Below are 13,540 nucleotides of genomic sequence, written 5' to 3' on the forward strand. Positions count from 1 at the left end.
TGAGCCATCGCACCCAGGCTTATTCATACATTTAAACTAAAGCCTATAATGTATCAGGTGCTGGTTAGGAACCAGAGACTTGATTTAAAACTCAGTCTTTGTTTTCATGGAGTGTAGTGGAGGAATCTGTTAAACAGTTAAGTTACCATATGAAGTTAACTACTATGGTCAGATTCTGCACAAGAGGAGCACGAAGAAGGACGTAAATCTATCTTAGGATCTCAGAGAAGGATACCTGAAGGATGACTGGTAATCTAGTAAAAGAATTCTGATGGGTTGAAATGAGAAACAATATAGATTCTGGAGAAGAGCTATAGTGCATGAGGAAAGTAGACAATATAGAAAGCTGCAATTATTAATGACCATAGCCAGAGTTCTGGAGAAGCAAGGCCTGATAGCAACAGGAGAAGAACTACTACAAAGTTTTATGAGCAAGAGTTACATTATCTGATGTCTTAGATCACTGTGGCTGCAATGTGAAAAACAGATACCAATGTACAAATACAAGGCTGAATCAGACAGATCAGTTAGGAATCTGCTACCATAATCTAGAATGAGATACAATGGCTTGCACTAATGCTGGGATGGAGAGAGAAGAACTGGGTAAAGACATTCTCACATTTAGTGACTAACTGAATAAAGGGATTAAAAATTTTACCTTTTGGCCAGGCACTGTGGCTCACGCCTGTAATCCCAGCACTTTGGGAGGGTGAGGTGGGTGAATCATTTGAGGTCAGGAGTTAGAGACCAGCCTGGCTAACACGGTGAAACCCTGTCTCTACTAAAAATGCAAAATTAGCCGGGCGTGGTGGCAGGTGCCTGTAGTCCCAGACACTCAGGAGGCTGAGGGAGGAGAATTGCTTGAACCCAAGAGGCGGAGGCTGGAGTGAGCCAAGATCGTGCCACTGCACTCCAGCCTGGACGACAGAGTAAGACTCTGTCTCAGAAAAAATAAATTTTTTTTTTTTACCTTTTTTCTCCTCACTGCTGACTTCTATTTCAGAAGAGCAGATCTGATCCCAGACTACTAAACAAAGAAAAGAGAACTAGAGAGACACCCAAACTGCAGGGGAGGTTGTAGTAACAAAGCAGAAGACAAAAGGAAATTCCAGGTGAGGCTACAGGGCAAGAACAGTCTCATTGTGTGTTCTGTCTTGAATGTACCAGAAACTACCAGTGTTCATGATGGTATATGAGAAAGAATCTACTTATTTTTATTTTTCTACTTGCCCTAAAGTAATAAACATGCATCACATCAAGCAAATTAATGCCTAATTATCAGCAAATTAGTAAACTATTTCTGTTGACACCTTTATTCTCTACCCAGTAATTCAACCGGCAGCTACTATTTTCACTAAGTACTGTTAAATAAGCTTGACAAAATGAGATACTCTTACATGAATTCCTGGTCCTAAAGAATTTAGTCCTTTCTTCAGCATACAAATTAATGCATGAATTCATTTGCTTTATAAAACTATAAAAATACAGAAGTATACAAAAAGCAAATGTCTCCTTTTATCTTCTCTGTTCCCACATCCCTCGGGGACATAACTACTGTCTCCTTATTTAGGGTATTTTTCCAGTCTTACTCTGCCTTTACAGGGACCTATGTACAAAACAATGTATTTTTTCCAAATAAATTTTAAATTGGCCTTTAGTTGTACAGTCTATGAGCATATTATCCTTGTAAAAATAATAAAACATTAATGTGGCTGGGCGCAGTGGCTCATGCCTGTAATCCCAGCACTTTGGGAGGCCAAGGCGGGTGGATCACCTGAAGTCAGGAATTTCTCAAGACCAGGCTGGCCAACATGGCGAAACCCCTTCTCTATTAAAGAAATATAAAAATTAGCCAGGCGTGGTGGTGGGCACCTGTAGTCACAGCTACTCAGGAGGCTGAGGCAGAACTGCTTGAACTCAGGAGACGGAGATTGCAGTAAGCTGAGATTGCACCACTGCACTCCAGCCTGAAAAACAGAGTGAGACTCCATTTCAAAAAAAAAAAAGTAAGTCCTAAATTACTACACTCAATTCCCATTAATAATCACTATTCTCATTTTGGCATATGTTCTTCCAGGTTTTTTCCAGACCTTCACTTACATACACGTACATGTATCCATATTTAATAACATTTCTGTGAATCTATTTTTACATAACTGGTACTACATTTAATATACTGTCTTTCAACTTTTCTTTCATTCAAAAAATGTTTTAGAGATCTTTCTACATCAGTAAACACAAACTGTCGAATTAATTTTGTGCTATAACCATTGTAGGAATTTGCCATGGTTATTTAGCTTGTCCTCTACTGGTGATATTAAGTGGTTTTCTGTTTTTCCCTATTAAAGAGGGCAGCCACAAACATATTCATGCCAGCTTCCTTGTGCACCTGTACATGGGCTGCTTCTGGGTAGGTATCAAAAGGGAGCACAAAGAACATGAACATTTTTTATTTTAAGACATAACCCAAATTCTCCCAAGGAATTTCTGAAGTATAATTCTGGTGCCTTAAAGGCCAACACATAATGAAAAAAGAAGACTCTTAGTTACAGTTAAGTGTTCTATTTTCAACCAAAACTTTTCTAATCCTAGAGGAGTTTAACAATCTGGCATCTTGAACAGAAATCACCATTAATTTCTGCACCAGTTATTAGCAATGCAATATCTTAACAGTCTTGAAAGATCCATTTATTCAACAATAATTACCAAAATTAAAAACACACAACCCTGGCCCCAGGAATAAATGGCCAAATTCATCCAATAGCTATACTTGCACATGTGTGAGATAACATATATTCAAAGTTATTCATCACAGATGCAAGTCAGTAGGTCTGGCCAAAAGTCCAGCTAAATTCAAAGTGACATAATAAATTATGATCCTGGAAGGGAATTCAATGTATGACTTACTTCAAACAGTAAATTAACTCAAAGTTTGGGAGCTATAAAATATTGATAAATTTAACCATTAAAAAATTGCTCAATGGCAAAAAAATACACAAAGCAAATATATCAAAATATAAATGACAAACTCTACAAAAAGTTATTTATAATTCACATCACTAAAGAGCTTGACTCTCATACATAAAGAACATCTAAAATCAGTAATTTTTTTTAGAGACCAACCATTCAGGCCAGGCAAAGTGGTTCACTCCTATAGTCCCAACACTGGGAGGCCGAGGTAGGTGAGGTGCTTGAGCCCAGGAGTTCGAGACCAGCCTGGACAACATAGTGAGGCCTTATCTCTATTAAAAAATTTAAAAATTAGCCAGCATGGTAGCATGTGCCTGTAGCCCCAGGTACTCAGGAGGTTGAGGTGGGAGGATCACTTGAGCCTGGGAGGTTCAAGGCTGCAGTAAGCCGTTATTGGACCACTGCACTCCAGCCTGGGGGACAGGAAGGAGATTCTGCCTCAAAAAAAAAAAAAAAAGCCAACCATTCAACAGAAAAATGGGCATATGACATAAAAGGATATTTCATATAAAAAGAATTACAATGGACTCAACACTTGAAAAGATGCTCATACTCATTCATAAATTCGATGTAAAACCTACTAAATAAAAACAATTCAAAACACAATTTTTCGCACGCATCCATAGTTTCAACTACTTGGGAGGCTGAGGCAGAAGAACTGCTTGAACCTGGGAGACAGAGGTTGCAGTGTGCCCCTATCATGCCACTACACTCCCTCCAGCCTGGACGATATAGTGAGACTCTATCTCTAAAAAAAAAAAACCCACACCATTTTTCACTATCAGATTGGCAAAAATTCAGAAATTCAGAAGTCTAGTAATGTACACGGCAGGTAAGTTATGGGAAAATGTTAGCCTTCATATTGCTGCTGAGAATGTAAATCTGTATAACCTGAACGGGAAACGATTATAGAAATAAAAAATGCAGGCCGGGCAGATCACTTGAGGTCAGGAGTTCAAGACCAACTTGGCCAACATGGTGACACCTGTCTCCACTAAAAATACAAAACTTAGCGGGGCATGGTGGTGCATGCCTGTAATCCCAGCTACTCCAGAGGCTGAGGCAGGAGAACTGCTTGAACCAGGGAGGCAGAGGTTGCAGTGAGCCAAGATGACGCCAACCTGGACGACAGAATGAGATTCCATCACCAAAAAAAAAAAAAAGCACATGTGCTTTAATCAGTAACCCTACTCTTAGGAATTAATCCTACAGATACTCTTACAGATGTATGAAATAATATATGTACAAAGTTACCTCATCTCAGACCTGTTTGTAAAAGCAAAAGGTCAAAAACAACCTAAATGTCCAAAAATAGGGGTGTGGCTAAATAAATTATGTTACATCGTAAATCTTATACATCTGTCCTATACAGAACTGCAAAAACAATTGAGGAAACTGGTTGTTTGCAGCTGGACATGGGCATGAAAGACCAGAGACGGGGAGACAACTTTTTAAGGATTACAAAAATATTCTTAAACTGGACTGTGGTGATGGGTGAACAACCCTAGACATTTACAAAAATTCCATAACAGCCAGGTGTGGAGGCTTACGCCTGTAATCCCAGAGCTTCAGGAGGCCAAGTGGCAGTATCTCTTGAGAGGAGGTGTTCAAGAACAGCCTAGGCAACATAGTGCTACCGTGTCTGTACAAACAAATTTGTTTTAATTAGCTGGGCATGGTAGCACACACCTGCAGTCCCACCTGTTCAGGAGGCTGAGGTTGGAAGATTGCTTGAGCCCAGGAGTTTGAGGTTAACACTGAACTATGATAGTGCTACTGCACTCCTGCCTGTGTGACAGAGTAACAATTTGTTTCTAAAAGAAGAAAATAGGCCAGGCGTGGTGGCTCACGCCTATAATTCCAGCACTTTGGGATGCGGAGGTGGGCAGATCACCAGGTCAGGAGATCAAGACCACCCTGGCTAACACGTTGAAACCCCGTCTCTACTAAAAATAAAAAAAATTAAAAATAAATTAGCTGGGCATGGTGGCGGGTGCCTGTAGTCCCAGCTACCTCGGAAGGATGAGGCAGGAGAATGGCGTGAACTTGGGAGGCAGAGGTTGCGGTGAGCTGAGATCGCACCACTGCACTCCAGCCTGGGCAACAGAGCAAGACTCTGTCTCAAAAAAATAATAAATAAATAAATAAATAAAATAAATTTTTAATTAAAAATGAATCTAAAATTCCTTGATTTTTACACTTAGAATGGTTTAATTTTTTTGGTGTGCAAGTTATACCTCAATAAAAGTTGTTAATAAGAACACACAAGGCTAGGCGTGGTGGCTCATACCTGTTAATTCCAGCACTTTGGGAGGCCGAGGTGGGCAGATCACTTGAGGCCAGGAATTTGAGACTGGCCTGGCCAACGTGGCCAAACCCCGTCTCTACTAAAAAATACAAAAAATACTAAAAAATAGCCCGGGTGACATAGCAAGACTGTCTTAAAAAAACAAAAACAAAACAAACAAAAAAACACCCACAAATGAGGGGATCTCTATGTAATAATAACACAAACATCTCCCAGATGTGTTAAGTGACAAAATTTAAAAGTGCAGAACAGTGTGTGTAATTTACAAGCTGAAAGTAAAGGGTAGGAGAGATAGGGAAGTAAGACGGCAAACTTGTGTTTGCCTTTCTACGTGTGGAAACAATACACAAAAACAATGACTGTACAGAAAGAAGGGAAATTTAACAATTGGAGGTAAAAGGTAGGATGAAAGGGTTTTTACTATATTCTTTTATAAGTATTTTTTAAAACTTTTCAGCCATATGTTTGAATATTCAAAAAATTAAACTAGGATATTTGGACTTTAATAATACAGATACAACTTATAATGTAAGTTGTTTGCTTCTTCATTTCGTTACATATTATATTTCATATGATTTTGCAATCATCCTGATTGTCCCCAAGAGTCTGCCTTTGTGAAGAATTGTGCCTACAGAAACTTTGCATCCTCAATATTCTGGGGACAGTTCCAGTTTCAAATATTCAATTCCAATGTTACTGATTTACAAATTAATAAAGGCTCTTAGAAATTCCAAGTTTTGGCTGGGTGCAGTGGCTCACGCCTGTAATCCCAGCACTTTGGGAGGCCAAGGCAGGTGGATCATTTGAGGTCAGGTGTTCAAGAACAGCCTGTCCAACATGGTGAAACCCCATCTCTACTAAAAATACAACAAAAGTAGCCAGTTGTGGTGGCTCATGCCTGTAATCCCAGCTACTTGGGAGGCTGAGGCAGGAGGAACGCTTGAACCCGGGAGGCAGAGGCTGCAGTGAGTTGAGATCATGCCACTGCACTCCAGCCTGAGGGACAGGGTGAGACTGTGTCTCAAAAAAAAAAAAAAAAATTCCAAATTTTCCATCTACAGTGATAGGAAAAGGAACCCCTAAAAAATCTTTTTTTCAATCACATGACCAAATTAAAGGTTGGGTAAGGTAAAACTCATCCAGAATATGCATAAAACTTGAACTTTAACTTTTTTGATTACTAACAAGATAAATTTATAGATCTACTTTTATGTAACAGTAACAGAACAGGTACAACATGGACCCCAAAGTCTCTGCTGAGCAGAAAACTGGAAATGACTAGAAATATACTGACAGAAGAGAAAAGCTAAAGTAGAACTACATAGTCAAGAAGAAAGCTCCGAGGGAAGGTTGTGGATTCAAATGAATACGTAGATAGCTCTTCTAAGACTCCACAATACATTCCTCATTCCTGTAGAGCCAGACTACTCCTTCCCAAAACCTACAGGGCAGCAAATCTAAGATCCACAAAAACCAGAGCTCCTATTTTATTAACTGCTCCCCTTGTGCCAAGCATTATGCTTTAGTAATCTCATTTCATCTCAGCAACACTATGACATAGGTGCTGCTATCCTCAGTACCGAAGCGCAGTAACTAAAGATCAACATCACACAAACGTCAAAGTTAAGGCCAAAAAAATATATGCTACTAGAGGATTTCCACTTTTCCTCTCTTATTTTTTACTATATTTTAAATACTGATCATTAACACAAACTTCTACAAGTAAAAAAATTTTATATAATGAAGTAGTACATGCTCATTTTAAAAACCAAACATTGTAACTTCACAAAGTAGACATTAAACATTTTCTATACTGTCACCAGCTAGAGACCATCACTATTAACTTGTTACAGGTCTTTCCAGACCTTTTCTTAAAAGCATTAACAGCTGATGTGCCAAGTCAGTACAATTATCTACTTATACTATACATATGTAAATATGAGGTAAAATGTCTACCTATAGATAGTATAAATTGTAAGCAAAAGCAAATTGTTGCTCAAACCTAGGTTAAGTCAAGTTTGGATTTAACTATATAGAATATTCTAAAAAGCACATAAACCAAAAAAAAAAAATGATGAAAGAGAAGGTGGAAAGATGAAAGCAGGAAAGGGCCAAATACAGTCTAGCAACTCAATTCAGCAATACAGCCAGTTTGTCACTACCTACCTACTTAAGAGCTGATTCTAACATCTATTTCCATGGTAACTAGGCATTAAGCAAAAAATATATATATACCAGACTTTTAGGAAAAGATTCCTTTCTCCTCCACCAGAAAAATGCCTAGTTTGGCAAATTTAAGCAATGTAATCTGGAAGTCTGACTTTATGTCAGAAATTTCAGTATATTAGACTGTAAAACATCTTAAAATAGTTATTAAGTAATTGGAGGGGGTGGACTACAAGGAGTAAAACTGATCATCTACAAATATCATAATCTTAGTTTCTAAAATTAGAGTTCCAGTTGCCTTCTATTGACATACAATATGTCCAAAACCCAGTAAAATATTTAAAATTATAAAACGCAATATATAAACAAGAACTATTTACTGACATCTAGTACCACCTGGCCACCTGGAAAATTGACACTGGACTTTCAAATCTGAACCTTTAAAAATTAATGTAAGCATAAATTAAATTTTAAGTAAAAACATACAGTAAAATAATACCTCTTTCGTTACTGATAGGATATGGGCAGAATAATGATATGCAAACCAGCAGCATTTTTTTTTTTTTTTTTTTGAGACAGAGTCTTACTCTGTCACCCAGGCTGGAGTGCAGAGGTGTGATCTCGGCTCACTGCAACCTCCGCCTCCCGGGTTCAAGCAATTCTCCCGCTTGAACCCAGGGGTTCAAGCAATTCTCCCGCTTGAACCCAGGGGTTCAAGCAATTCTCCCGCTTGAACCCAGGGGTTCAAGCAATTCTCCCGCTTGAACCCAGGGGTTCAAGCAATTCTCCCGCTTGAACCCAGGGGTTCAAGCAATTCTCCCGCTTGAACCCAGGGGTTCAAGCAATTCTCCCGCTTGAACCCAGGGGTTCAAGCCTCCTGAGCAGCTGGGATTACAGGCGCTTGCTACCACACCCGGCTGATTTTTTGTATTTTTAGTAGAGACGGGGTTTCACCATGTTGGCCAGGCTGGTCTTGAACTCCTGACCTCAAGTTATCCGCCCGCCTCAGCCTCCCAAATTGCTGGGGTTACAGGCGCAAGCCACCGTGCCCAGCCATATCTTTTTAAAAATATGCTCAACATTTTGAAACCATGTAAATATTTTACATCAAAAAAATTGAAAAGGAAAAAACAGCACTCCTTAGAAACCAAAACCAAACTGAAGTAAATGTTCTATTTTCAACTGCTGACATAAATACACAGAGAATTATTATTTCAAGTATCTTAAATATTAATATTTATTTAAAATATTATTTTTTATTAAAATTTATAAAATTTTATTTTCATTTAAAAAGTATTCTGAGCTTACATCCCTACTGGAATACAGCCTAAGGATGTAAATAGACAGACAAAGGAATCTCAAACTACATTATGGTATTGTTATCTCAAAGCTAATATGTGTTATATGTATAATATAATGTTAATGTTGTTAGGAACCAACATTTTTAGCATAAGATAAAAAATGATATAGGCCGGGCATAGTGGCTCACGCCTGTAATCCCACCACTTTGGGAGGCTAAGGCAGGTAGATCACTTGAGGTCCAGAGTTCGAGACCGGCCTGGCCAACATGGCAAAACCTGGTCTCTAATAATAATACAAAAATTAGCCAGGCATGGTGGCACGTGCCTGTAATCCCAGCTACTTGGGATGCTAAGGCAGGAGAATTGCTTGAACCTGGGAGGCAGAGGTTGTAGTGAGCCGAGATCATGCCACTGCACTCTAGCCTGCGGGGGGACAAAGCAAGACTCCATCTCAATTTAAAAAAAAAAAAGGCCAGGCACGGAGGCTCACGCCTGTAATCCCAGCACTTTGGGAGGCCAAGGCAGGCGGATCCGGAGGTCAGGAGTTCGAGATCAGCCTGGCCAATATAGTGAAACCCTGACTCTACTAAAAATACAAAAATTAGCCAGGCATGGTGGAGGGTGCCTATAATCCCAGCTACTCGGGAGGCTGAGGCAGGGGAATCGCTTGAACCTGGGAGGTGGAGGTTGCGGTGAGCCAAGATCACGCCACTGCACTCCAGCCTGGACAACAGAGCGAGACTACGTCCCAAAAAAAAAAAAAGACACAACTATAAAAGAAGTTACATGGCTGTACTCATCAAGAAGGCATCACAGGCAAAGAGGGAAGCCCCTGCTCTCCCAACGTCAAAGCCAAACCAAAGGCTCTAAAGGCCAAAACAGCAGTGCTGAAAGGTATCCGTATCCACAGCCACACAAAAAAGAGAAGATCTTCACGTCACCCACCTAAGGACAGCCCAAAACACTGCTGCTGTTCTGGAGGCAGCCCAAATATCCTTGGAAGACTGGTCCAGTCCAGGAGAAACCAGCTTGACCACTATGCTATCAAGTTTCCCCTGACCACTGAGTCAGCCATGAAAAGAACAGAAAGTCAACAACATTCTTGTGTTCACTGTGGATGTCAAGGCCAACAAATACCAGATCAAACAGGCTAAGAAAAAGCTCTGTGGCACTGACATGGCCAATATCAACACCCTGATCAGGCCTGATGGAAAGAAGGCCCATGTTCTACCGGTTCCTGACTATGATGACGTTGCCAACAAAATTGGGATCATCTAAAGTGAGCCCAGCTGGCTAACACTAAATAGACATATTTTTCACCATAAAATAAATAAATAAATCATAAAATAAGTTAAACAAAACCTCTGTAATTTTTCATGAAAACTGGAAATATCAGTATGAATTGAAAATTTATTCTTCTCTTTTTTTTTGAGACAGGGTCTCACTCTATCACCCAGGCTAGGGTGCAGTGGCACAATCTCAACTCACTGCAGCCTTGACCTCCAGGCTCGGGTGATCTTCCCAAGTAGTTGGGACTATAGGCACACACCACCATGCCTGGCTAATTTTTTTGAGCTTTTTGTAGAGACAGGGTTTTGCCATGTTGCCCAGGCTAGTCTCGAACTCCTGGGCTCAAGTGATCCGCCCACCTCAGCCTCCCAGAGTGCTTAGGTTACAGGAGTGAGCCACCTCACCCAGCCATAATTTACTCTAATTAAAAAAAAAAAAAAGGAGGAAGGAAGGAAGGAAGGAAGGAAGGAAGGAAGGAAGGAAGGAAGGGAGGAAGGAGGGAGGGAAGGAAGGGAGAGAGTACTTCCTGTATCTAAATACTAAAAAACCATAGAAGTCATGACCAACCCAGCAGCAATGAGCACCCTTAACACCCTGATTGTGATCTCTAAAAACCATTTCCCACTTGAGAAAACCAGGGCTACTTGTTCTTTTCTTTTTATATATATATTTGATGTCATTAATGTCTCAGCAACCAGGGTTCCTTAAAGAAATAGCTGATTCCAGATGCGGAGCAGGAAATGTACAAAGTGAACCTGATATCCCTTGTGCCAGAAAGAGAGTAAGTTATTGAAAACCGATGGGACAATATTCAAAAGAACACAGGAACCCATCTGAAGGGGTTCCAACTGGCCAAAGATGAGACAATTGAAACATGAAAAACAGCAACTACAATGGATTAAAACACATCACATACATAAAAATCCCTAACACTAAAAATAATAAAAGAAAGAAGAAAAATTTACTGGTCGTTTTAGTGGGTTCCTAGGACACCAACTCATTATTATAAAAACTGGCAAAACGAGGTGGGAGAGGAATTAAATTTTTATAGCCTCCACTTCTAGATTTTAAAGACAGTAAATACATGAAATAAAAGTTTTCTTTACAAAAGAATTTCAACTAATAAATGTAGGAGTGATATAATTCCAAAATCACCGTTTTGCAATCCTTATATAATGGATCTAGTCAACAATCCTCAGATGCTGCGAAAACCTTTGTGTGAAAGTTGATAAGAACTTTATAAAGGATAGATCAAGCCAACATAATCTAAAACCACTGACCAATCCCAGCAATACTGAAAGTGAACCAACCTCATGATGGTAACTAATAGAAAGAATACAGCACCTCTTATAAACAATGCTCACCAAAAAAAAATACCCTCTAGAACGAATGTTCAGTTTACAGGAAATTACAGGGGTTAAACCAAACCACAAAGATGTAATCAGCCAAACAGAATGTGGGAAATTCTACAGGTTAAATAACAGTTTCTTCATCAAATAAAGGGCATGAAAAGGGTGGAGATTTAAGAGACCATTTAGAACCGTATCTTCCAACTGCAATATGAAGACTTTATTTGGGTCCTAATGTAAACGAACAAATTGCAAAGACATTTTAGAGACAGGCTAATCTGAACATGTTCTTGCTACCAGATGCCATTAAGGAATTAATGTTAATGTTATTCATTGTGACAATGGTATGACAGTTGTACTATGAAAGGAAAGTTCAAGTGTGTCAGAGATACATACCGAAATACATATGGGTGAAATGATATCTGGAATTTGCTTTAAAATGCTACATGGTGAGGGAGAAAGGAGAGAAGAGGGGCAGCAGAGTGAAACAGATAATACCAAGATGGCAAAATATTGGCAACTGGTGATGCTAGGCCATGAATATGTAAAACATCAGTGAACTTTATTTTTGTATGTTGTAAATTTCCATAAAGTTTTAAAGCTGTATCACCAGCATGTTTGTTACCATGAAGTGTATTCGTCTCTAATCATTTATTTTTACTAGTCTCCAGAATTAACACCACTAATTTTCCAAAAATTAGAAAATGTTATGTTTCAACTTATATATTTAGTCTAAAAATCAATTACCGTATTACATTATATATATCCATATATATGAATATAACGTATATTTATATATATCCATATATATGAATATAACGTATATTTATATATATCCATATATATGAATACAATGTATATTTATATATATCCATATATATGAATATAATGTATATTTATATATATCCATATATATGAAAATGACTATCTGCATTATAAAGTCACTGTGCCTATCCACAGTTAAATATTTGTTTAGCAGAATTGTATTTACATATAGCGTTTCATTCTACTTCAATTTTATTTGAGATCTTCATTTTACTTAATTAGAACTCCATATCTCTTTCATCAACACCTAATCACAGTTAATACTACAATCAGAACAATTTAAGTTATAACTCAAGGGGCACAGAGATGGGGAACCAAACCATACTGTTAATGTTTGCCATAAAAGCTGGCTTCAATCCATGCACAGAGGCATTTCATTCATTAAAAACTGCAGTCTCAGCCCAGCACAGTGGCATTTCATTCATTAAAAACTGCAGTCTCAGCCCAGCACAGTGGCATACACCTGTAATCCTCCTGTAAAGCTACTCGGGAGGCAGAGGCAAGAGGATGGCTTGAACCCAGGAGTTCCAAGCCAGCCTAGACAACAAAGTGAGATGCCACGTCAAAAAAAAAGCAGTCTTACTGTAAGTCTCTCATTATACTTTCTAGAGCCACCTTAAAGTGTGACCCTAATACAAGTTCATGTACATAAGAAGCTTTTTGGTGTTTTCCTAAGGGATAAACTGTGGTTTGGTTTTGTTTTTTATTGAGACAGAGTCTTGCCCTGTCACCCAGGCTGGAGTGCAATGGCGTGATCTTGGCTCACTGCAACCTCCGCCTCCAGGGTTCAAACGATTCTCCTGCCTCAGCCGCCCGAGTAGCTGGGATTACAGGAGCCCACCACCACGCCCAGCTATTTTTTGTATTTTTAGTAGAGACGGGGTTTCTTGAACTCCTGACCTTGTTATCCACCCACCTCTGCCTCCCATAGTACTCAGATTAAAGGCGTGAGCCACTGTGCCTGGCCTAAACTGTGTTTTTGAAATTATCTGAAGGTTTAATACCTGAAGAAATAATAAACGCTCAGAGTTCAGCCTAGTCAAAAATTAACACCAGCCTCTAATACATCAGAGAGTTATTTACTCATAGAAACAAATGCTTCTTGCCTATCAGTGTTTAATGGTATCATTTGAGATCTGAATCCTGGCACTGGTTTTTAAAAGCGGAGCAGTTCTCTGGAAAAGAACTCTGGATTATGAGTTAGGAGATCCAAGTTAGGGGGTTGGTCTATGCCAGAGTTTGAACTCATAATTCTTGTTCATTGGTGGTTAGCTGCTTGAAGCAGTAGTACTATCTTGCAAAGGATTCTAAAGCTTCATTTAGGAGCAACC

General features: G+C 39.1%; 1 protein-coding gene and 1 pseudogene across 9 annotated transcripts in view; one reads left to right on the forward strand and one right to left on the reverse strand.

Annotated features, from left to right (window-relative positions):
• The window catches only part of ARID4B (AT-rich interaction domain 4B), a 161,278-nt gene that overhangs the window by 119,413 nt on the left and 28,325 nt on the right, over nucleotides 1–13,540 (reverse strand). The window lies entirely within an intron of this gene.
• RPL23AP23 (ribosomal protein L23a pseudogene 23) lies at nucleotides 9,546–10,069 on the forward strand (annotated as a pseudogene).

This window comes from Homo sapiens, chromosome 1 (assembly GCF_000001405.40).
Source record: "Homo sapiens chromosome 1, GRCh38.p14 Primary Assembly".
Lineage (NCBI taxonomy): Eukaryota > Metazoa > Chordata > Mammalia > Primates > Hominidae > Homo > Homo sapiens.